At 43.3% G+C, this 26,463-nt stretch overlaps 1 protein-coding gene and 1 long non-coding RNA gene across 4 annotated transcripts in view; one reads left to right on the top strand and one right to left on the bottom strand.

The window, feature by feature from the left end:
* The window catches only part of LOC107985155 (uncharacterized), a 31,075-nt gene extending 10,622 nt beyond the window's left edge, over nt 1-20,453 (bottom strand). The window contains exons 1-3 of one of the 2 annotated variants that reach the window (XR_001753316.3): nt 9,871-9,942; nt 8,728-8,814; nt 2,847-2,972 (exon numbers count right to left, since the gene is read on the bottom strand). This is a non-coding gene — a long non-coding RNA (uncharacterized LOC107985155). Of the gene's footprint in view, nt 1-2,846 lie in introns of both variants that reach the window. The other variant, XR_007066264.1, reaches the window with a different exon arrangement.
* Nucleotides 1-26,463, top strand: part of COLEC12 (collectin subfamily member 12) — a 183,965-nt gene that overhangs the window by 110,858 nt on the left and 46,644 nt on the right. The window lies entirely within an intron of this gene.

Genomic DNA, 26,463 nt, shown 5'->3' with positions numbered 1-26,463 from the left:
TACTAGCAACTTTTCAGAAGTACTCTTCTGAGTTCTGCAGGCTTGAGTCTGTGGGTGGTACCGAGTAAGCCTGATTCTCTCAGGGAGTAGGGGAAAGAGAGGGATTATTCTGAATTAGTGGAGAAAGTCCGGGGATGACCTTATTTGTGAGTTTGTGGCTGGATTTAAGAAGTCCAAAAGGGGCTTGTTGTTACAGTATCTTGGAGAGTTTTCATTTCAGTATATATAGTGCTATATCTTTTTTTAAAAAAATTGCTGCACAGTGGGCTGGGCTCGGTGGCTCATGCATAGTAATCTCAGCACTTTGGGAGGCCGAGGTGGGCGGACCATGAGGTCAGGAGATCAAGACCATCCTGGTTAACATGGCGAAACCCCGTCTCTACTAAAAATACAAAAAATTAGCCGAGCATGGTGGCGGGCGCCTGTAGTCCCAGCTACTCGGAAGGCTGAGGCAGGAGAATGACTTGAACCTGGGAGGCGGAGCTTGCAGTGAGCCGAGATCGCAGAGCTTGCAGTGAACCTAGATCGTGCCACTATGCTCCAGCCTGGGCGACAGAGCAAGACTCCATCTCCAAAAAAAAAAAAAAAATTGCTGCACAGTATTCTATATCATGGCCGTGTGTGTGTGTGTGTGTCTGTGTGTGTGTGTAATGGACATTTATTTTTTTATATCCCCTACTTTTCAAAAATTATTTTCTAATTCTGCCTGAAATAACTTCCTTTGCAAAATTACTTTAGCTGAATGCTATCAATTATAAATCCAATTGTATCAACAAGCTCATCTTTTCCATTGTTAATATTATTCACTGAATTGTGAATAATGTAACTGGGCTGCTTTCCTTCCCACACCTGATGTAGACACTCCACAGGAGAGGGAGTGTTGTTATAGGAGGAAGAAGTACTTGGAGAGAACTGGAGAAGGGCACCATGTGAGCACACTTGGACACAAGGAGAGAGGGTTCCAGAGAAGGAAGAGCAGTGCAGAGTTGGAGGCAGGAAGACCCTAAGATCCACCTCTTCATTGCCAGGATTACCTTCAGTTGTTTCTTCAACCTCATCTCTGTTTAGTCCATTTCTGTGACATGCCAGCTCTGGGACCTGGGTGGCCACAGGTAGCTCATGAAATGACTTAAGCATTATTAAAACTGGAGTTTACCCAGGAGGCTGAGGTGGGAGTGAGCTGAGTTCGTGCCATGCACTCCTGCTTGGGCAACAGAGCAAGACCCTGTCTCAAAAAAACAAAATGAAACAAAAAATCCTGGAGTTTACAAACATCACTGATGTGTGGTTGGCATTTGGAGAGACCCATGCGCATACAGAAACTTGACAAGTGAATCGTTTCATAAAGAGGCTGATAGATGATCAGGTTAGCTGCTACTTTAAAGCCAGTGAGCATGTGCAGTAACCATGGTGCCACGTTAATTAAGACTAATGGCCAAAGGAGCCATTGCAGATGATCCAATTAGGCGGATTTAGTTAGAGATTATACGGATAACTCTGACTGAAACATCAATCTAGGCCTCTATTTCAAATGAGGTGGTATTTGACTATAATAAAATAGTATACTAAGTAGCTGATGTGTCTTGCAATTGTGGAAGTTGAGGGCTACTAACAGCCTTAAATATTAATATTTAAGCTTGATTTTCTTTCAAGAACCAATTATGTAGATGGTTTATTACCAAGTTCTTTTTGTTCCTTACCCCTCCTGCTGTCTAGTTGGGGCTGTTTTACAGTTCATTAGCCCCTTGACAAGAAGGTAGAAATGAAAGAAGGTGCAGCTTACATCTGTCTGCCTACTAGCCAATTCCGTAAACTGTTTTGCGGGGAAGATACTGAAACTATAGGCCAAAACGGACTTTGTGTTCCCTTCCCCATGCATTAATTTTTCCTAGATCCCAAGTATTGGAGAGAGCTAGCAATTGGCTGAACTGACAATTTCTCAGTTGCATAAAAAGTAATCAGTGGAATTTTGCTTAATGTGGTCCCAGTTTTGTCGTACATAAGGAAAAATATTCTGATAAGCCCCACAAGCTAGTGAAGCGTCTTAAAATTACACACTGGGTTATACAGTGATTACACTCATCAAAATGATTTTTTGCCTAACTTTAAATTCTCTCAACAAAGATCCCAAATTTTCCTAGCGTACATATTTATTTTTAAGAGTTATGAAAATACACAGCCGTATATGGTTGTATCTGAATCCATGTTGCCGTGAGAGACTGAGCAGTTCTCAAGTATTAAGTGAGAAATCATCGCAGAAGGATTGCACTATGTCATTGACGCCTTCAAACATGTCCACCATATTTTACTGGTGGAAATTTCATCATTAGGCTTAAATTGGAAGCCACTGATTCTCTGCCATTAAAAAAAAAATGGAGTTCTAGCCATTAAGTATGATTTTCGTTTAATTTTTTTGATGGGGAGATGAGAAAGAAGGAATGAAAGTATAAAGAAAAGGGAAAAGGCTAGTAGAGGGTGCTGTCGTCTGCTAATTTTTTGCTTTCTCTAAAGCGCTTCTGCTCACTGCCATATGGTAAATTCCTCAGTGAATTATTCAGGGTCTTGTCCTGATGCAAAAGACACTTTAAAAAAAAGCAGAACATTCTTTATCCCTCTTGGAAAAAGAAATAACAAATAATTAAGGCCACAGCGCTCAGGGACCCAAGTTTATTGGCAATAAAAGGTAGCTGTGCTGACAACGCTACCAATTAATCTGCCAAAAGCGAGCTCAGTGGTGTTGCCATAAAGATCATGTGTTGGAAAACAGGACTGGAGACATCCAGGGATCTATATAAAGCATAGACAACAGTCTTAGCGATCATGGGGCAGCAATGTGGGCACCCTACCTTCAGCAGATATGGTAGCGGTCTGCGTTCTTTCTGTAACAAAACTCCTCACTACGTGGAGAACCCCTCAATCCCAAGTCAGCTGTACACCTGGCCTCTTCAGAAGCTATGTGTGCCCAGAAGGTGCTGGTGGGAACAGAAAAAAAAAATTGAAATCAAATTTTATTTTTTGAGACCTATGGAAACTAGGTTGCTTATACTTGAGGAATATTTGAGGAAGTATAAGCAACTTAGTTTCCGTAAGTGAGAAAACTGAGGCTCTCAGCTTCCAAATTCAGGTCTGCCTGGTTCCCATATCCATTCTTTTCCTGTAATATATGTTTCCAGATGAAGCATCAAGAAATGTTCTAAACCTGGCTGCTATGAATGTGTGGTGTGACCTTGAGCAAGTCACCTAACTTCTCTGAGCCTTGGGTTTGTATCTGAAGGGTGAGAGGTTAGAGACTCTGAGGTCTCCAATGGCAGTGCTTCTCCAATGTTAATGGACATAGGAATCACCTGGGGATCTTGTTAAAATGCAGATTCTGATTCAGTAGGTCTGGGGACAGGCTTGAGGTTGTACATCTGAGAATATTCCAGATAATGCTGATGCCACTAGTCCACAGACAGTACTTTGAGTAGCAAGGTCTTGTAGCATTATCATTCTAGGGTTCCAAGATGGCAGTGACCACGTTTTAGTCTTCCAGTCACCCCTGCCTGCCCATGTATGGTTACAACATGACTTGTACAGTTGGTGCTCAACAATGTTCAATACATTGGATTTAGGTAGTAAAGAATAAGTAGTTCAAAGGGACATAATCTAAGGGAAGTTTGTAGCTCAGGAAGCTCAATAATTCTGTAATTTCCTGAAGGCACCATCCCTCAAGGGTCAAACTGAAGCCTAGCCTTCTCCCCCACCCACAAAAGGTACCCTGATAATCCTAACTTTTCCCACAGTGGATTTATCCACCCCTACTGTATCCCCAGCTCACTCTGACTGACTTAATCTGAAATCAGATCAACCTTAAAGGACATCTGGTAAATGCCATTAGGTAGCACTTTACTCTCCCAAAGATTTTATTTTGTAGATTAAATCACATCTCCCCTAGATACATTCTGACATATAAAGTTTCTTCCTCCATTCTGACACCCCTCTTTGTTCTGGTAACCAGTATCAGCATTTTACTAATTTTCTGTGGTATTTCCATCCTTTCTTCCATGTATGTACTTTGCTGTTCTTAGAATGGTTGCAGAGGCCAGAAGCCAGATTTTCATTATCTCTATGGGGAAACATTCCATAAACTCAAGACAAAAAATATACCATGAATTGAAAAAACGGAAATAATTAGCCACTAAAATCTCTTTTCTTTCTGTCTTTAAAAAAATTTCCATTTTTGGCCAGGCACGGTGGCTCATGCCTGTAATCCCAGCACTTTGGGAGGCCAAGATGGGTGGATCACGAGGTCAGGAGTTCGAGACCAGCCTAACCAACATGGTGAAACCCCATTTCTACTAAAAATACAAAAATTAGCTTGGTGTGGTGGTGTGTGCCTGTAATCCCAGCTACTCAGGAAGCTGAGGCAGGAGAATCGCTTGAGCCCGGGAGGTGGAGGTTGCAGTGAGCCGAGATCGCACCACTGAACGCCAGCCTGGGCAACAGAGCGAGACTCTGTCTCAAAAAAAAAAAAAAAAAAAAAAAAAATCCCATTTTAAACCACTTGTTTAGAGTTGGGTCTAATTAGAGTACTTTAGAAATAAAGGCTATGTTGTGCCTGTAAAGAAGTGGATGCTATTTTTTTAACCTGATCTTTCTTATAATGCCCAAAAGGACAACACTACGTATTTTCATATGACTGTCAAGGGACAGAGTCAGTTCCAACTATTTGACCTAGATAAACAGATTACCATTCACTTCATCTGAAAGTACAGGGATAATTAACTTGGACAACCATGTAAACAGCAGGGGTCTCCTCCAGAGTTCTGCCTTCTTAAATCAGCAGATATCCTTCTAGAGAGCTGCCACAGCAAGGCCATTTACTGTGATTGCGTTTTATTGCTGTATTTTAAGTTGTTCTCATGAACTGTATGGTGATATGGAAAGAACTTCTAGGCATTTCAGTCTTCTTAGGCTTATTCCTATGTCCCAGCCTATCTGTGCTTATCCATTTGGTAAGGTTTATGATGGATTTGTTCTCCTGAGTTCAACAAAATGTTTTTATTCCTTCTGCAAAGTTGGTAATTAGTCCATGACAAACCATTGAGCCCCTAGAATCAAAGACACCTGGAATCACAGTTACACAGGACCTTAAAGGTCATGGAGTCCAGTTCCCTGTGTCTTGTGCCGACCTCCTTCTACAGAATCTCTGACCAACGGGGTTTCACTCTAGCTTACGTGCACAGCATTCAGCAGTAGGTTGCACATTCTTTTAACTGTGCCTCCTACTCCCTGCTCAAAGAGTTCTCTTTTTAGGTTGAGCTGAAATTCAATTTTCTCTAGTTCCCACCTTTAATAGCAATGCAGGGAAAACAAAATAACTTCCTCTTACACGTGGCAGTCCTTCATCTATCTGCAGGTAACAACCACACCTCCCTGAGCCTCCTGTTCTTCATGTCCTTTTCCAGCTGTCTTTATGTCAAACATTAGACTCCTCTCTATCCTGGTCACACTCCAGCCTTCCTCAAGTTAGTGGCCCGGAATGGGTACCATCCTCCAGGTGAGGTGGACTAGCATTCTGGAGCAGTTGTTCTCAACCTTGGCTGCACACTGCGATCCGCTGGATGCATGCCTGGGACCCACAAGCAGAGACCCTGATATAACAGACCTGGAATGTGGTCTAAGCATCAAGATTTATAAAAGCTTCTTGGGTATGTCGATTGTAGCCAAGATTCAGAACCACTGATGTGGTTTGTCTGTGTCCCCACCCAAATCTCATCTTGAATTGTAGCTCCCATAATTCCCACATGTTGTAGGAGGGACCCAGTGGGAGATAATTGGATCATGGGGGCGGTTTCCCCGATACTGTTCTCATGGAAATGAATAAGTCTCATGAAATCTGATGGTTTTATAAGGGGAAACCCCTTTTTGCTTGGTTCTCATTCTCTCTTTGCCTGCCACCATGTAAGATGTGACTTTGCTCCTCCTTCACTTTCTGCCATGATTGTGAGGTCTCCCCAGCCATGTGGAACTGTGAGTCAATTATACCTCTTTCCTTTCTTTCCTTTATAAATTATCCAGTCTCGGGTATGTCTGTATTAGCAGCCTGAGAATGGACTAATACAACCACTGTTCTGGATTCTTTACTAATCAGAGGCGTTGATGGATACCCAGGTAGAGTGTGGAGAAGGAGTGGGTAGGGGGCAGTTAGGGGAGATGGGAGGTTACAACCTATTGTTGAATGGATAGATCTCTCCGTAAGCTAAAACTCATGGTTGTTTCTTGGTTTTTAGTTTTTATCTTGATTTTTGTTTTACGTTTATACAAAACCAATATAATCGTAACTTAAGTTCCACAGCTAGGGTAGCTAAACTCATCTTTTATCATGTTTCTGGCAGGTATTATTGTATTTTGTCCTCTGGGACTTTATGATGAGACATACGGGGAGTTGGGCACATACATCTCCCTCCTGAGACCTCACTCCCTCCTCACCTCCATCTCATTGCATATTAACAGCACCAAATCACTGACTCATACTGAATAGGCTACTCACTCAAACTCTTACTCATGCTACTACTAAGCCATTACTCTCGTCTTATGTTCTGGCAATTTTAATTTAAAAAATTAAATTAAATTATGTTCTGGCTTTTTTAATTTAAAAAATTCACCTTTAATTCTGATAAAGGCCCAAATGAGAGGATATGGGTTGGGTATGCCACAAGAATGAACTTCCCAGTCCTGGACTCCAGATTAGACAGACTTGCCCACACAGTACAGGCAGTCCTGGAAAATGACAGAGTCCCGTTGGGGGAATTGCGTTGTAAAATGGACAGCATGGAGGTGCAGGCCAGAATGCATGCTCTTTGCCTGTAGATGACACCCCAAAAAATCATTGCATTTTTAAAGGATTCTGAATGATCACAACACACAAAAAAAGAAATGATAAATGTCTGAGGTGATGCTCAATACTATAATTTGATCATTACACAATGTATACATGGATAGAAACATCACATTGTGCTCATGAATATGTACAATTATTATGTGTCACTTAAAACAAAATTTAAAAATAACATTTGCTTGAATCAGCAAAAAGGAGAAAAGAAGCAGGCACTTACTATACACTGGCCCACTTTGTGCCACCTATACTGTATTCACTGTAAATGCATAATTTCATTTAATCTATACAATAATCCTATAATGTGGCTGTAATGATGCCCATACTACACATTAAGAAACCAGGGCTCGGGGGGATTAGTGCTAATAAGTGGAGTGTCCAGATAGAAACTTGAGCCTAAGGTAAGCAGGGACTTCATTCCTGTTGAATTTCATTATATTGGGTTTGCTCCAGAGTTCCAGCCTTTCAAAGTCGTTTTCAATCCTGTTTTTTCAGGTCATGTATTTGCGAGGTTAGGAAAACCTACTCTGTTGTGATGAGATGCAGAACACTTAGAAGACACTCTTCTTGCCTACAAGTAAATTTACTATATAAAGTAGTAAGACCACATATCTGTGAAGCTAATTATATTCTTGATTCTGGGCATGAAAAGCAGAAAGAAAAAGGGATTTTTTTTCCATCTGTATCTGATTTATACAGGGACTCCCTAACTTAACACAGGAAGGGTGAATTATTAGGCAGATTTTGATAATTTAAAGACACAGTTTGCCCTAGAAATAATGTTTTTCACTGGTAATCAGATCATCTGGCCATCTGCAATGCCTGTTTGACCCACAGTATACCTGGTATGTGCTAGTAAAAATACTGTTCCAACTCCGCCATGGGTGTGTTGCAGATGACTATAGCAGGGCAGGTCCTAGTAATGCTTCTGTCTCCCCCATGGTTGCAGTAAGTCTTTTTTTTAAGTCTGTAAGAGATCACAGATCTGCTTACTTGTTTAACATGCCCCAATAATGAGTTCTTGGCATTTGTAAATCCAGTCATTATTTTCCTGATGAGAGGTGAGCTTTTTAAAAAAAAAATCCTTCAGCAACTTGCTTTATTTTACTTGAAACTATGTATATCATAGGGATATATCTCCATGCTACTGCATATGAATTTATTGTTTTATCTACTGCACAGAATTTCAGACCATGATGCCCCGTGATTTATACAATAATTTCCCTTTGGATGGACATTAAAAGTTTCCATTTTTTCCTTCATGACAAGTAATGTTTTAGTGAATATTCTCATTCATATACCTTTGTACTGTTGGAATATTTCAGAAGAATTTATTTCTATAACTGAAATTGACATATCAAAGAATATATACACTTAAAATTTTGGTTGCCCTCCAAAAAGGTTATAACAACTTATATTCCCACCAAAATGTGTGGTAAATAGGGATTATCATTTTGTTTTCATTGGCATTTCCTTTATTATTATTATTTTAATTGACACATAATACTTTTACTTATTGATGGGGTACAGTGTGATATTTTGATACATGTATGCAGTGTATAATGATCAAATCATGGTAATTAGCATATTCATCACCTCAAGTATTTATCATTTCTTTATGTTGACGTGAACAGAAACCACATCAAATTTTAGAACTGCAGAACCCTTGAGATTTCAATATCCCTCTTCTCTCCTGCCAGTTTCATGCCAGACATTGAAAACTTGGGTTTTAGAGCAGAAGTATGTCTCAATACAATTGACTCTTGCAGAAACTCCTTCCTATGTAAATAGCCATTTCTGCACTTTTCTTCACCTGCCTTGCAATGCAAGGAGTTCCTTCCAGTACTTACCTTGCTTTCTCTGAGCCTGGTTCTGTTTGCTTTGACATTTATAGAAGGCTCAACTTCTTCTCTCAGCACTTTTGACATTCTGTGGCTCTTTGGGAAAGGGTTCATAAAAAATGGAATTAACATCTATGGAAATAATATATGGCTCTCCAGATAGAACCACTCATCAGGGGCCGGTTGCCTAGGGAACTGGAAGAGAACCATGTGGGAGGCTCCACACAAGACCCTGTACCTCTTTCTTTCTGCCGTCTCTCACTTTTGTCTACTCTACGTTCTCATGCAAACTTACGTACTCTGCCTGAGTTGAAAGCTGAGGCCTGTGCAGATGAGGTCTCTAAGAACGTAAAGACATTCCCAAATTTCAAACTTGATTTCTGATGTACAGCTCACTTCTTTCCGTCACATCCATATTATCACTGGGGCATGATCAGAAACTTCATGGCAGGGGCCCACCTGGAACCCACACCCCTAGAGATGCAGGAGAAGACATCCTGCAAGCGTGTGTGTGTGAGTGTGTGTATGTGAGTGTGTGTAATTAAATGTGTGTACATGTGGAATTCAAATGAATGCTGCATTAATCATCGACACAAATTTGGGGTACTTCCTGTGTTAGGCACCGTTGATGAAAAGATACCATTCTTGTCCCTATTACAATGACTGATGATTAGCATGATGGGATGGCATTCAAGTGCAGTAGGTGTTTAGAAGAGGGAACCCCTGAGAACTCACACTTCACAGAGGAGTGTGAGTTTTGAGATGGGTTATAGAGGAAGAGTACAATTTAGCCAGGCAAGGAGGTAGGGGAAAGTGTACCAGTCAGAGGGAAAAGCATATTACACAAGGGAGGGAAGAGCCAGCATAATGTGCTCTGCAAGCTGCCAGTACTCTGAAGCTGCACTGAGGAATGCGGAAAGATGACGGTAAAGAGTAAGCTAGTGGTTCCATCATGAAGGCCTCATATGCCATGCTATGAATTTTGTTTTATACTCTAGGCAAAGGGAAACTACTGAAAAATTTCAGGCTGTTGAAAAGACACTGCCGGACCTATTGGGCACCAATGCTGAGGCATATGTGCTAAAAATAATGCAAATCAGAGGGAAGTAGGATTCTTTCTTCATCATTGGAAAAAAAAAATAAAGCTCTTACCTCAGCTTTGGGTAGAAATCTTTGCTTTCCTCCGGAAATACAGCTTCATCTTCTCCTTTGTGGTTTTTGTGCTGGTGCTTTCTTAATCTGGTCTTGCAAGCAAAGCTACCAGATGGCTTTCGTCCTGCGCACTGTCCCAGCCATGCTCACATGTCGGGTTGATGAATGAACTCCTCCCTTATTCATCTGACCTTTGCATCACCACCTTCCTGACTGGGCAACTTCGGCTTTCTCGACCGAACCATCATGCATGAAGATTTGCAAGCCCCTGTGGGAGCAGACCACTTTACTCTAAATCACTTGTCAGAAGCACCGAGAGGCCACTACTTAGTGGAACAATAGAAACAGTTTTTATATTTTGGGCTTTGACTGGAATAAATTGTGATCACACTGAAGTTAGGTCTTTCTCTCTACTCTTTGTTCCTTTTACTTCTTCCTTTTTCCCTTTGTCATTCTCCTCTATTTTCTTCACTTTTCCAAAACTTTTAGTTGCATGGACCTGCTTTGGAGTAAACAGACCTTTCTGCTTGTTAGAACTTTTTCTCCCGGCTGGGTGCAGTGGGTCACATTTGTAATCCCGGCATTTTGGGAGACCGAGATGGGAGGATTGCTTGAGTCTAGGAGTTTGAGACCAGCCTGGGTAATATAGTGAGACCCCATCTGTACAAAAAATAAAAAAATAAATTAGCTGGATATGGTGGCATGTGCCTGTGGTCCCAGCTACTTGGGAGGCTGAGGTGGGAGGACCACTTGAGCCTAGGAGGTCAAGGCTTCAGTGAGCTGTGATCACTCCTCCGTACTCCAGCCTAGGTGACAGAGCAAGACCCTGTCTCAAAGAAAAAAAAAAACAAAAACAAAACCTTCTTTTCCTAATAAAAGGAGATAAAAAGATTGCACCATCCCTCCAGCCTTAGTCGACCAGAGTGCACCCTGCGTTGGGGAGGGCATGGTTGCCAGAAACCACCCTGTGCATTTCCACCGGCGTGGCTCAATCCTCACCCAAGGCCATTCAGGATTATGGCTGGCAGTTTGGGTGTGAAGTTCTTGAGGGCACTGGTGGAAAGAAAGAACTGGGAAGAAAAAGAACTGCTGAGAATGAGGGGGATGGCAGAGCAAAGCAGGTACTTGGGGAAAAGAAGGAAGGAGATGTAAGAATGGAGGGGAGAACAATCTAGGAATAGAAAGGAAAAGGGGAAATAAATTGGGAAGAAGTACACCATGTAGAGAAGAAGGGTCTTGAAAGGACAAGATAAAACATGGTTCTCCTAGTAGACCCTTTGGCACTGATGGAGACCTCACGGAGAGCACAATAGGCTATGGGTAAGGAGCTAGATATCTACCTACAACTTTTACTAGCAATTGCCAAGAAATGGATTGCAAAGTCCTCCTGATAAGGCCCTGGAGGTCGAGAATTGGGTGCTGTTTGCTTCATTCTTTCTCCCTCAGTGGCCACACCCTGTGGGCCTCTGTGTTGGCTGAAAAACCCGTGCCAATTGCATCGGACGTTTCAGTTCACCGAAACACAAAAGAATGGAAGAATAGTCTCCATGTCCTGGCCGCTGTTCCTTGCAGCTATTTTCCCTAAACAGTGGAGCAACTTAAAATAGCCATCCTTCTGTCTACTTTTATTTATGACGGTTTTTGTGTTTAATTCACAACTTCTTCTGATGTGCCCTCAGCTCTGTGCAGCCTGGCCAGCGCTGTGCAGGGTGCCCTCCAGGAAGAGCGCCAGGCAGTTGAAAACTTCTGCCAACACTGGGAAATGTGTTGGCTGCCCGGGAGATTCCACCCACAAGTAACTGCAGTGGTATTTTTTTAAATGTCTCTGTTGGGGCACAGGCAGGACTGAGTCTCAACTGGGCAGCAGCAGGGGGTATCCTTTCTCATTGATCAGTGCCAGAGCGTTTGTTAAATTTTTGGATTATCACCCGTGGATAGTGGGTTAGGGCTGAAGATGTGCACAATTCTATATTCTCTTTTTGGTTGAGTTGGTATTTGGGATGTGGGTTGTTTCAATGTCCAGATGAAACCACAGCTTTCTCAGTGGGGAAGGAGTTAAAGCCCCAACCCGCCCCGCCACCCTATTTCCCCCAGCCCCACTCCTCACCAGGTTCCAGCCCAGGAGTGAGTGCTTCCTAAGCACCCAGCTGGTGGTGTCCTTCTGATCCAGGCCCTGTCTTTCTTGGGCCGCTCATCAGCTTTTGTCTCTTTGGATGGCAAGTGCTCCAAGCTCAGGCTCTGAATAGACAAAGGATTAAAAGCTTTGGAAATAAAAAATAGGTCTTCAAAGCTGCCAGCAATGGCCAAGGATTCCCTCCAGTGCAGCAGGGTCCAACAACCCAGCCCAGCGCACTTCTCCCAAATGTTTTGGGAGGCTCCTTTCCTTTGAGCAACAAGGCCTGTGTTGTCTGTGGGTCTCATACTTGGAGGCCGAAGAATAAGCATTGCTGGAAGGGGCGAGAAAGGTGGCTTCTGTGCTGCCCAAGACACCGCAGATTGCAGGGGATACGCCTGTAACTGGCATATCCCAGCGCACACTGTTAGATCTAGCCAGGGAATGCAAGCTTGCTGGGGGTTCCAGTCCTAATTCCTACGGGTTCTTTATGAGTTTCAGGCGGCAGCCTGACCAATGGGCATCAGACCCCTCGGGCTCACACGTGCCGGGAGCATCATGCTGCTGGTTTCTCTTCTGCCATCTGGAAGCCATTTGCATTGAAATGGTTTCAGCCGCTTGCTGAGCACTGGGTTTTACAGGAGTCACAGCACAGGGCAGCCCAGGTCCCAGGAGCCAAGAGCCTTCACTTCCTGTAGGATTTCCAGTTTAAAACCCACTGAAGCTCTGCCCTCCAGGGCACCACCAGGTCCTCCGTCCCCTCTTCCCTTTCCTCCCCTTTTGGACCCCAAGAGCAATGACACGTGCAGGGGAACCCTGACATCTATCCTTCTTCTATTTCTTACCAACTTTGTAGGTTGGAAGGGAAGGGGTGCAGAAAAGTCCCTTTATAAAAAACGCTTCAGGCAAGAGCTCGTACTTTACATTCTCTGCTGCATGCATTTTGTAAAATGCAGTATCTCAGGAGAGCTCTGAGGACTCACACTCAAGCCTCTAGCCATCTAATTTCATGATAATCATAGGTGCCTGTTACCGTGCCTGACACTGTGCTAGGGTCTCTATTTGCCTTACTCTAATCCTTAGAATAACCCTGCAGAGAAAGACGAGAGTCTTGGGTTAAGCAGCTAATAAAAGAAATGTAGGATTCTCATCAAGGTCTTTGCCATTCCAAAGCTCTTTCTGCTCTAGAAACTCGTGTCCCCATTTAGGCCTAAGCAGGGTGGGAGCTCCCCAAGGACAGAGAAGCAAAGGAAGAACAAACATCTGCAGTTCACACTAGATAGTCCAGTCATGGGTTTTTTAAGGAAGCAAAATGATCTTTTGAAAGGAAACTCATGCAGTCTGTCCGCTTCTTGCCAACTCTACTACAGTGCAACGTGCCAAAAACAGCCAAACCTTGTTTGAGGTATGAAAGCAGCTGTTATAATAAACTCCTCTGCTCTACCTCTTTTCCTGTTATGGTGGAATGGCTGTTTAAAGTAAATGTCTCCAATCCATGGATTTTCTGGGGTCATGAAAACATTGTTTAATTGGCAGACTGTATTACATTTTTTGGTGAAGTTAGGAAGTAAACAGAATGCCACACGCCATGTTAGATCCATGCAGTGTAAAGGTCTGTAAGGAAACGGTCCCTGGATTCTGGAGCCATTATTCCCCACTTCCCACCCCCTGGGGTGGACCAGCCTTCTCAGGTTTTGAGGTTGTTCCAGAAAGAATGGATTTCTGCCTCTCTTCTATCCCAGGACTTCCAAAGCAGAGCAAGGGGAAATTAGTGCACGGAATGGAGTCGATCTGGGTTTGAATCCTCTCTCTGCCAGTCACTAATGTGGAACTTCAGGTAAATTACTCTGAGCCTCCATCTTGGAATCTGTAAGATGGATATGGTAATAACTACCCAATTGCCTTCATCATAAAATTTAAAACAAAATCAAAATTATAACATATATTGCTGTAGTTCTTAGTATAGACCCTGTGCCGTTCAGGTGTTTTACAGGCATTAATTCATTTAATCTCCTCAACGACTTTATGAGGCAGATACTGTTCTAACCATCTTCTAGCCTCTGGGGAGACAATGGGCAGTTCAACCAACAAAGATCTCTGCCTGCATGGAACTCACATTCTTGTTAGGGAGGCCAACAGATAAGTAAAATACATAAGTAAATGAAATGGTGATAAGTGCTATGAAGAAAAATAAACAGAGCTAAGTGTGGTCGTGCACGCCTGTGGTCCTACCTACTCAGGAGGCTGAGGTGGGAGGCTCGCTTGAGCCCAGGAGTTTGAGGCTGCAGTGAGCTATGAGTGCACCTAGGAATAGCCACTGCACTCCAGCCTGGGCAACATAATGAGACTCCATAGCTAAATAAATACATAAAATAAACAAGAAAGGGAGATGGAGGCATGGGGGAGGAGGATTGCATTTTTCAAAAGAATGGTCAGGGAAGGCCTCTCTGAGAAGATGATGTTTTTAAGTAAAAACCCGAAAAAAGGGAGAAAGCCATGAGGGTACCCACAGGAGAGTGTCCTAGGCAGAGGAAACGGCCCATGCAAAGGCCTTGTGGTGGCAGGCCTGGTGTGTTCGAGGCCTGGTGAGGAGGCCAGCATGGCTGGAGTCGAAACAGCAAGGCAGGCAGCTTTGGAGGCAGACAGTGTAGGGCCTCATGAACCTCAGCTCTTTCTCTCAGGAGAGGAGAAGCTCCCAGAAGAGCTTGAGCAGAGGAGGGACTTGACCCAGATGAAACTAGGTGTGAGGAAGGACACTTCTATTTGTGCACTGCAGCTGCTGCTCCTGCTGCTGGTTCCCATGAGAACAGTTGCCAACTTTTCCAGACTAAGTAGGACACTTCTTAATGGGACATCTGGGCCTCCACTGTCGACATTGTACTTGTTGATTTTAACAACAGATGAACTTTCCCCAACTTCCCATGTATCTGTGTCCAGCCTCCTCCCTCCTTTTGGGTGGTTCTGTCCTTTGCCACTGCTCTGCACTGGATCGTCTTGATGATGCTACTTAACTGGCTACATAGACAGCTGCGGTCTGAACTCACCATGCATAACGTGTTGCTGTCTTGAGTTAGTTATTGGGGCCAGTGGCTCACAGATAAGTATTGCTTGGGCCAGGAAACCACAAGAATGAATGGGGAAGAAGGGTGAGGGAAATGTTTATAAACAGAATTGCCCCCTCAGTGGAGACTATGAAGCCTATTAGTATAACAAGCCGCCCCAAAACTTGCTAGTCTATACAAATTCTGGTGGGAAAAATTAGGATATCCTCATACTTCCTATGGGAGGCCAGGTATCACAAGTTCCGAGCCTCAGGCCTACAGGTGGTTTCTAGAGCCCATGGATCTCCTGAAATCATGCCCAAACATATGCCTGTGGGTGATTTTCAGGGGCGAGGTCATAGTTTCCATGTGGCTTGTTCTTTGAATGGCTTGAATGGCTTGATTGCAATTGCAGGTCATACTTTCAACACTGGCTGGTGTGTTACTGTATGTGCAAACGTGAAAAAATGTATGTATTTCAAAACAGAGTTTAAAAGGATCTTTTAATTCCCTAATATTAAAAGTCCATAATATCTGTATTTGACAAATATGGTGTTATCAGTATAGAAAGATAAATTATGGTCTCTTAGAAATTAAGGGATGTGTTTTTGAGGACATCGAGGTGTACTGTCTCCCAAGCTCTGTTTGCCGCTTTTCTCAATGGCTTTAAATCATCAGGAATTCACTCTCTGTATTAGATCATTTATTCTCATATGCCGCTCGCTGCCTTTGAAATACCTCCAATTCTAGCAATGGTTTACAGACATGCACAAGAGCCAAGTGGCTTAAAGCAACACCCTAGGACTTAGGTGTTTGGAAGCCCCTTATCCCCTGGAGTCATTTGTGGAACAGGGCCTGCATGCAAGAGGAGGCCCAAGCTCAGAAATGAGCAAAGAGCATGACTTAACAGGGAGGTTGTAGCGTCTTCACAGCAGAGTACAGTGAATAGAATTACATGTTCCTCAAGTCCCATTGGCTCATATTGGCATCATTCGGTACTGGACACAGGGTGTGCACCAAGTATATCTGTGAGTCAATGCTCACCTGCAGATGTACCACGAAGCATACCAGACAGAATTCTTGGGGGGAGGTGGGGGGCTGCTGCTTCTCCCAGGCCCTGGGGTTCTATCACAATATTTGATTCTACCCGGTTCAGATAAGCCCTTACGGGGATTCTTAGCTGGGACTTACAGAAATTGACAACGAGATTTGTTAGGAATGACTGATCCCATGCCCTGGAATGTAAGCCATGCACAGTTTATGGTACATAATTATATACAATAAACTATAAAGGACATACAGTGGATTTTGATATCAGGTTCCAGTTCCTCCTCACTGAGGAATTAGTACAAACCCTTCATCTGTGTGGCTAAGGAAATAGTTCTGGTCCTGCCCGAATCCGTTTCCATGTGTCCACATGGCCCTTTTTCCCCACCATGTACTTCTGACGGGAGAGGTCTGCTCCTTACATTAGGATCGAAAGCCTCGTGGGAGAAGTTGCAAGGTGTTCCCTTTCCAGCGGTCACTGTGGAGGAAAAAAGGATAACCGTATGACTGTCAGAGACGTGATCAAATAGGATGAGCTTACATTGGATAAGTAGACAAAATACAAAATCAGCAATAAGATTATGACACAGAAATCTGTGTATTTGTTCCTCAATTGCATACAAATTTCCCATTTTTCATCAAGATGGAAATTGAATAAGAGGAAAACTAAGAGGCTCTTATCACAGATGAGCTTGTGTTCCAGTTCACCATGGCTACCATCAGAGTTTTGTCCTGGTCACAGGCAGCTGTAGTCTGTGTTACTCTCTAACTAGAATACACACATCCCTCAGAGGGATTCATTGCCTTTTGCCACAGAGCTGTAGTCTCTGTTTCCTTTGAAGATGGGGGGAAGGTTTAACACATTTGTCCAGAAGCACTCTTCTGCTGGAATATGGGACTACATGTGGATCCCCTCTTCCTGAGTCATCATGACACTTCCTGTGTCACAGCGTTAAATGTCCCCTTGGCAGAATGTTCTAGGTACACCCTTGAATTACTAAATGTTCTATTTTGTGTGAATCATATTATCCTGTGTCAGTTAAACAACACTCTTTTGGGCGGGCATGGTGGCTCATGTTGTAATCCCAGCACTTTGGGAGGCCGAGGCAGGTGGATCGCTTGAGCTCAGGAGTTTGAGACCAGCCGGGGCAATATGGTGAAACCCCATTTCTACAAAAAATACAAAAATTAGCTGGGCCTGGTGGTGCACACATGTAGTCCCAGCTACTGAGGAGGCTACGGTGGGAGAATTGCTTGAGCCCAGGAGTTTGAGGCTGCAGTGAGCCAAGATCACGCCACTGCACTCTAGCCTGGGTGACAGAGCAAGACCCTGTCTCAAAAAACAAACAAACAAAAAACACTCTTTCAGTTATACCCTCCAAAATGATATGGGAAATTATTTTGCCCCTACTTCTGCACCAACTTCAAGGGTTTGGATTGCCTGCTCCCAGCTTTGTCTCAGTGACTTCAGGACTCTGGTGCTTGATTTAATAGAAATGAGACAATACAATAAAAATTAATGGAACCAGTTTGGTCTTTTCAATCTATTACCTATTTTGTGTTTCGAGAGGGGAATTGAGACTGGAGGAGAACTGTGGAATGCATTTACCAAAGAAGGCTTTCACTGTCTAAACGTAGTGTCCCTGAATGGGGGGAGGTGGGATAGGCGGGTGGGGTCGTAGTGTCTGGTTCACAGTGTTGGTACTGCACAAAGGCACCTGAGGGAAGAATGAGAGCAGAAGTCCAGCTCCACTCTGCAGACCAAGTGTGCAGATATAAAACCTTTGCAGGAATCACCACAGTGCCTGCATCAGAACTCACGTACTTGATCGATTCTGCCCTGGATATCCAAGTAATGTTACTGCTGTGCCGATGACTGCTGTGCAGATGTTAGTTTCATACCGCAGTTTGTTTCCCCTCACTCTCTTGAACCTGTTCTTTATTAGGAACAGAAAGAGTTTGTGTCCTCTCTAGGTCCCAGTGAGCAAAGCACAGATCCTTTGCCTCAGGCTCTCGCAGCTTGTCAGGACACAAGTTACCCGCTGGCAGGGACATTCCTACAATCAACTGTCACAAGGCCTGTTACTGCTTATTTTCATTTCCCTGTTGCCGCAGCTCCCCTTTCTCCTGTTCTGTCTAGATAATCAGAAGATTTTCTTCTCTTTCTTTAAAAAAAAATTGTTTCTATCCCCTACTCTGTGATCCTTTCCATCCTACCCTAGGCCTGTGCAGCAGAAACCTTTGAAAGAAGGGGTCCTCCCTGCACCCCAGGGCCCTCCTGGAGTCCTGGCTTTTCCAGCTCCACTTGGATAAACATTTCTCTTCCGTGATTTGTGCCCAGTTGCGGCGTGTCTGGGAAGTGAGCAGGAGTAGAAACAGATGGATCTTCCACGGGCTCAAAGTCAAGAAGATTGACTTCTATGCAGTAGTCCTCTGGATAAAGCTTAGTAAACATATAATCACACCATCATCTGGGGCTCTGTATACCCTAGTAAATGAGTGCTTCTAATTTTATAAGCACTGTCATTACCACAGTTCTACATGAGATTTTTCCTTTGACTGTAGTATATGTTCTTTTGCTTTACTAGGTGTTGTTTATTAGGTGTTGTTTCCCCCAAGTACTGTAGAAAGTGACAGATTGTTTCAGGGCAACCAGTAGGTTGTATTTACAGGTGGTTGGCTGTCTTGACCAGCTTTGCTGCAATAACATAACTGCTTTCCAGCAGGAAGGAACATTGCATAGTAGTGAGGGCTGTGAAGTCCAGACTTCATTGTATTCTTCATTTAGGAACGAACATTTTCTGAATCACTGAATCCTTCTTTTTCAGTTCCTCTTCAGGTCTGTGCATAATGGGAAGGTGATGAATGAGCCCTGTCTTGGTGCATGACAAAGATGCAAAAATGGCATTCCTAGTCCATCATCAGCAGGACCTGAGCTTCTAGTTGCTTTTCCAGAGTAGGGTTGAGAGGCCTGGCTGCCCCAGGCAGGAAGAGCTCTGGCTAGGCACCATTTAGAAGGGGTATGCCTCCTAGATCCATCAAGCTGAGACCATCCCTGGGATCCCGTTGTGTGGTGGACCTCTCAAGACAAGTATCTCTTCTTAATGGAAGGGTCTCTCTTACCACAGGCTGTTTTAAAGAATAATAAGCAATGAACTCACAGTGTGTTCTAAACCGCATGCAGTGTACTGGGAGTTTATGTAAACAAATATATGCTGCAAATTAAAAATAAAATGTATGAGTGAATCCCTAGTGGGTGATTCTGGTACTAATTCCAAATTCCATATTCACCGGGGAAGTGGGGAACACCTTCAGCAAAGTGCGGATTGGACAGTGTTGTTAAGTCCTCACCCAAAGCCGCTTCTTCTTTAAGCCCGTTTAACCAGTTTACAACTGTAATTAGGAGCTGTTTGGCCATCGGGGAAATAAAATTCGTTTCTTTGGGCATGAAATACAATGAAGTGATTATACCATAAAAATTTCATATCATATGAAATTATATATGTATTTTCTGCATCTCTGATCTCCATTATTCACTTGTTTCCAGAGCTGGTGTGCTCCTGGTCACATTTTCTGATTCTCTGCTGTAAGAGCTGAAGTTCAAAAGGCCTTCTGCCTGCACTGTGAATGGCTCAGCTGGTAGAATCTGATTTTTTCCTATTTTGATTTCTGAGTCTGCTGCTTTTACAGTCATTTATGCATCTCATGAATGTAATGAAGTGTTGCTTTCCTCTGAACTCTTGTATTTTTTTCTGCCTTGTAGGTCGGGTTTTAATCCCTGCATGATTTTGAGAGGTAAACAGAATATCTTCCAGATCGGGGTTGCTCTTCATAATCCTTTCCTCGGTGGTGATTCCTCCATCTGAATCCAAATGTGTCCTCCATAGCTGCCTGTCCTAGGCTGATTCACCAGGGCTCCACATCTTGACTTTGCTATGCCACCTCATTTCCACGTGAGAAGGAAGTGCACGTTCAGGGTGGTTGGTCAGAGTTAAGTCAGCCTGTATCCGTGGGGTGAAATTAACAGACATGTGGGAATTGAACCTTAAACATTCTCAGTTTCACTAGGAACCTAAAATTATAATCACGCCACAGAGATTGTAAATTTGAAATTTACCTTGTTTCCATGGAAATTTTGAATTCAAAACATTTAATGTGTAAAATATCACTAGTAAGAGGGCACATAGCATTGGGAGATATACCTAATGCTAGATGACACGTTAGTGGGTGCAGCGCACCAGCATGGCACATGTATACATATGTAACTAACCTGCACAATGTGCACATGTACCCTAAAACTTAAAGTATAATAAAAAAAAAAAACATTATTCCAAAAAAAAATAAAAATAAAAATAAAAATAAAAATAAAAAAAAATAAAAAAAAAAAGATCTGTATCACCTCCGGGGAAGGAAAGGAACGATGCTTCATGTCCAAGCTTGGTGGTGCCAGTGATCCTGAACTTCTCAAGTAATTAGTCTATATGGACAGATTAGTTCTTTACTTGTTTAAATGCAATGGATCAGTTGCATTAAGTGGTATGTGCTCTTTACTTGTTTAAATGCAATGGATCAGTTGCATTAAGTGGTATGTGCATTGAGTGGTAGGCTGGCAAATGGTAAGGGCGCTGAGTGGAATGCTGGCAAATGTTTAACAGCCGGCTCTCCAGAAGGCAAAAGCCCTGATTTGGAGCTTTTTGCTGATTTCAATGGTGTGAATACTTCCAGCATGACCAATTTCATGCTACCAATATAAAGTCACTGAACATAGAGTTGTGAAGAGATAACAACAATTGGGGGTCACCAGTCAGTATAAGCTGGCTCCAGTCACGCCCATGATAAACCCATGGGAAATTGTGATTTTTGAATTTTTTTTGTTTTGTTTTTGTGTTTTGTTTTGTTTTGTTTTTGAGACGGAGTCTCGCTCTGTTGCCCAGGCTGGAGTGCAGTGACGTGATCTCGGCTCACTGCAAGCTCCGCCTCCCGGGTTCACGCCATTCTCCTGCCTCAGCCTCAGAAGTAGCTGGGACTACAGGCGCCCGCCACCACGCCCGGCTAATTTTTTTGTATTTTTTAGTGGAGACGGGGTTTCACCATGTTAGCCAGGCTGGTCTCGATCTCCTGACCTCATGATCCGCCCACCTTGGCCTCCCAAAGTTCTGGGATTACAGGCCTGAGCCACCGCGCCCGGCCTTGTTTTGTTTTTGACAGTCTCTGTCTATCACCCAGGCTGGAGAGTACTGGTGGGATTTCGGCTCACTGCAACCTCTGCCTCCCAGGATCGAGCGATTCTTCTGCCTCAGCCACCCAAGTAGCTGGGACTACAGGCATGTGCCACTATGCTCAGCTAATTTTTTGTGTTTTTAGTAGAGATAAGGTTTTACCATATTGGCCAGGCTGGTCTCAAACTCCTGACCTCAAGTGATCCACCCACCTTGGCCTCCCAAAATGTTGGGATTACAGACATGAGCCACTGTGCCTGGTGATTTTGAATTTTGCTTTAGAAATCCTTTTCTACAAACATCTCTAGTGTCTGAAGAAAGTCACTTTGTGTGTGTGTGTACAAACGTATGTTCCCATCTAGTTATTTCAGTTTTAAACAATTTTCTAAATTTAACTGTCATTTCTAAACTCCATATAAAGGCATGGAAAATTAAATAAGCCTACATGTTCCCATTTATTTTATATGCCATAATTCATTGCATGCCTTCTGACTTTTTGTTTAATGGTTTTTCATTTTTATTTCCAGTTTCATTGCTTTGACTTCCAAAAGTATAGCTGTCTGCCCCATGAAAATATTTCTCTCCCCATCCCCCTTTGTCTAGTTTTGTTTTGTTTTGTTTTGTTTTGGTAGAGACAGCATCTCACTGTGTTGCCCTGGCCAGTCTTGAACTCGTGGCCTCAGGGATCCTCTTGCCTCACCCTCCCAAAGTGCTGGGATTACAGGCATGGGCCACGACACCAGGCCTTTGTCCAGTTTTAATAACAAGTATGTGGCTAGTGACAGGGATGGTCGTCATTCCGTCTGGGGCCACTCTCCCCTCACAGGCGTCGTGGGCCAATACTCTATTAAAATAGGTCCCTCCCAGTTCCCTCCTTGTTTTGCCAACTTTTCCTCATTTGGATCATTTCAAGTCGATTGACTCATTTCTCATTAGGTTCAAGACTGAGGCCACATTCAATGTGGAACAGAATGACTGTTTTAAAACAGCAGTGGTGAAGTCTCCTGCTCTGTCTTGGCTTCGTTCCCTTAATTTTAAGTGTCTTCGACTATCATCTTCACTTGAAGAAAGTAAAAAACACATGTTTTTGAGGAACGAGGAATGTCTGTCAGGTTGATTGATGTTTTCATTTACATTGAAGTCCACTTTTTTTCCCCATCAAAACACTAGTTTTGGTGGTTAAAAAAAAAATCAAATCGGTATGTGAGGGAGAGTGGATGTAGGCATGTCTTTGCCAGCACCTGCTCAGCAGCATAATTTTCACATGCCCCGACACTGTGTCGTTGACAAACAGCAAATATCTTGTCATTAACTGAGATTTGTCCTGCTCAGCGCTGTTCCCCCTCGTCATTATATTAGTCCTTCAGCTGCCCCCAAATGACACTTTGTAAAGCAGCCACACTCAAGGCAAGTGTTGGATTGCAGGTTTACAGTTCTCATCTTGGCCCTATCACATGGAGTTTTGAAAGTGCCGAGACCCACAAAATGGAGAAATGCTGTAGGGTCTTGGGACTCACTTCAGTCTGGGCAGGGGTCTGAAGGCATGTTTTGCATTCCTTTCATCATAACCTTCATTCCACCCTCTACCTCCAGCGGGTTTGAGGCTGCGGCTCCCTGTGGCATCAGCCTTGGCTGTGTGGGAGGAAAGGGCTCTCATCAGTGTCAGTGTTTTAACTGTCAGGCCCCTGAGCTGTGCCCCTCTCCCAGGACATCCATACCCCGGCCCACAGGACAGTGAGATCAGCAAATCACCTAGAAGACTGGAGACAAAGGTGGGAGAGGAGATTGTGAAATCCCTTGCACCTGACAGCAGATTCCAATTTGGGGGCAGGGAGATTGCTCCTGGAAGCGAGGGCCCACTTCCCACTGCCCGGATCTGTACTCCAGTCATGCCTTTGTTAAGCCGCAGGATGTGCCGAGTACTAGCGGGTGCTCCTTTGCTTAGGGAAATGCAAACGCAACACAGCAGAAAAACAAAACCCTCATGCCTGTACAAGGAGGTAGCTATGAAGATCATGGGGAGTGTGGATGTGTGCAGTATCAACTACACAGGTGCTTAGGGATTCAAGGCAAATTAGGAAAGGGTGCATTGAGGAGGAAATCTGTGAGTAAGCACAAAGGAAGTTAGTTAGTAGGGAAGAGCGTTTCAGGGAAGAGAAGGGCAAATCTCACAGCCCAGAGGGGAAATGAGCAGAGCCCTGTCAGAGACCATAGCTATGCAGGTGCCTGGGGTCCTTCCCATGCTCCCTCAAACTCTTGCTCAAATGTTACTCTGCGGAGAGGGCTCCAGACACACCATACTTAAAATTGACATCTACGTCCCCCGCTACATGCCCTTCGCTCAGTGCTTGCCTTGTTTTTACTATAGCATTCATCACCTTCTGTCATATGAAGACATCCTCCCACTGGAATATAAGTTCCAGAAGGCAGAGATAGATTTTTGTCTGTTGTGTTCACCAGTATAACTACTGCCTGCTACTTACACCTTGAAGAAATGAATAAACAGGATGTAGCAAGAATGGAATGTGGTGATGTGGGCAGAATTCTGGGGTCGAAGGAACTCCAGCTGGAAGGTAGAAAACCCGAGCCCTAAAGCCAGCCTGGCTGTGTATAAACTTGGGGTGGGGGGAGTAGGAGAGAGGAGTGGAGTTCCTTGGGCCTCAGTTTCTTCACTGGTGAGATGCATATTAGCCAAGATGACAGCCAGCGCCCCTCCCGGCCTCAAGATTCTGAGTGCCAACATGGTCAGAGGGTGCGGGAGCAACTGGAGAATCACTGTGGATTCCTGAACCACAGGGTCAAGGAGGTATTGGTAAGAAAAAAATATTTTTTGCCAGTGTATTCCAGATAATTTTTTTTTAGAGGGAGGCTAAGAGGCTAGAGGTAAATAAATTTTTTAATCGCCATCTGATAAACCCTCCTGTCACCTTCTTCCTTGCCTCTGTCTTACCTTGCCCAGCTCCTGCAAGCTTGAGCCACAAGCAGTTTTTTGGCTCTGTAGATGAAGGAGCCATTGAAGACTGGCTTTTGGGGTTCATTTCAAGCATACTAGAACTTCAAAAGAAAACCATGGGGTGACCAATTTATTTGGTTTCAAGCTTAAACTGATCAAGGCTCCTGCATATCCCATAGTTTGCTTTGAAATTATAAAGGTACCTTCTTTCCCTGGCCCATCTCACTCCAAAAACTCCCTCAGCATTGGGAGATATTCCCCTGAGGGGCTAACATGCCTTACCAGCCAAACCTTCAAGCCACTCTTGACCTCTCCTAGAGAGAATGAGCATTTATTTAGGGCAGAATTTACTTGCTGCTTAAGTATGTCACCACAGTCTAATAAAGGAGAAATTATAGCCGGCAGAAGCATCAGGCCTGTAAGTTAGTTAACCCACCGGAGACTACATTTTATTGCTTATTTCTGAGAAAGGCTTATCTATCAACATGTGAAAGGATGTTTCCGCACCCCTTTATTTTGACAGAATACTTCTACTGGTATGTCTAACTGGTCCGTTTTCTAGATTATCTCGTTGGGCATCCTTTATCTTGCTTTGTTTTGTTTTTCACTTCTGGAGATGAATAAGCTTGGAGAAGCAACACACAAAAGATTTGGGTTCAACTCCCAGCTCAGCTACTCACTGGCTTGGGTACTCACCCTCTTTGACCTCCCCACTTTCCTAAAATCTGTAAAATTAGGGTCAGAATTCCTACTCTGCAGGGTTGTTAAAGACATTATAAGTAACCAGGAGAGGGTTCCTGGCCCATATCAGGTCCTCAGTAATAGCCTTCATCCTCAGCAATTCCTCTTCACATTCACAGCAATAGCAAACTCTCACCCACTCAAGAAATGTCTCATGGCCTTCCTCAATTACCTGTCAGAGTCAGTGTCTGGCTCAATTCTACAGCAGATTGATGACCCAAGCTAGAGCTGCATTTTCATGAGTCCTTTTAATGAAAAGATTCAGCACTTAATCCCAGAAGGACATTGTATGGTAGTGCCAGATAATGAAGTAGTCAGGCTGCTGAAATGTTGACAGTTCACTCTGTGCCCATAGAATAAAATGTATAGGAATAGAGCCAAGAGGAAGGGGCCAGCTAGGAGAGACAACTGTAAGAGATGTGATGGTTGAGCTCCCCAGTGAGCAAGGATTCCTCTCCTTGGAATTGAAAGCATTTGTGGACAGTTCATCTAATAAAGGATTTCTTATAAAAACCACAAAGAGAAAATAATGGCGTTCTTTTGAGACACTATATATTCTGGCAGACACTGCATACTCTGAGTGGGACCGTTACATCTGGCTTTTGCCTACGACAATTCTTTTTTAGTAGGCAGGGTATAAATTATAAATTTTAAATAAATAATGCATAATCTTAAAAAAAACAATAAAACCAAACCAGAACTGACTGCCTTTTCTTTTTATACACATGAAAAAATTTCAATGAAAACAAACTATACCCTTGGTAAATGCACAGAATTTGAATGTAAGTTCAGCATGAACGTCGAAGAGTTCATGCTGTCATAAAACTCTCTTCTAAGTAACTTTTCCGGTTTGAACACATCTTTATGAATACAGAGCTGCTGTGAGGCTTCACTTATTTTGCACAGAAAGTGATTTCATTTCCAATTCTTGTCCTGCTTCCGTTTTCATGGCTATCCACATCGTTAGGAAACTTGGCATAGTAAGGTGTCCAGGGCTGGGATTTGTATTTGGGGAACTAAATTACTCACTAATAAAAAAAATTTTTTTTACTAATTCCATATTTCATCATTTAGTAAATAGCCTTCATCATAAGGAAAAGCTAGTTATTTCGGTGGATAAAGTGTTTTATGTATTTAACTTTTGTTCCAGTGATATTGCGTAACATTCAAGCAACTAACCGGGTTGTTAACTCTTATTGTTTTGTTGCTTTTGGGGCCATTTTAATTATAGGAATTTATTTGAATCATCCGTTTTACTGTTAGAGCCAAATCATTCTTATGGGTTTATGGGAATCTATACCACCAGGCAGTAGATTAATAACTGTAAAAAAACCACATGAAAAGTTCACTGCGAATCTCAGATCAAAACTTGTGGTTTTCTGGATTTTGCAATTGACCCTTTTTAAAGCTTCTCTTTGGTAACATGATCTTTATGGCAACACCACTGAGCTATAGACACTTGTGATCATGAAAATAGCC

The sequence above is a fragment of the Homo sapiens genome, chromosome 18 (genome assembly GCF_000001405.40).
Source record: "Homo sapiens chromosome 18, GRCh38.p14 Primary Assembly".
Taxonomy (NCBI): Eukaryota; Metazoa; Chordata; class Mammalia; order Primates; family Hominidae; genus Homo; species Homo sapiens.
Note: the sequence above shows the minus strand (reverse complement) of the source record. Positions and strands in the feature narration are given on the sequence as shown.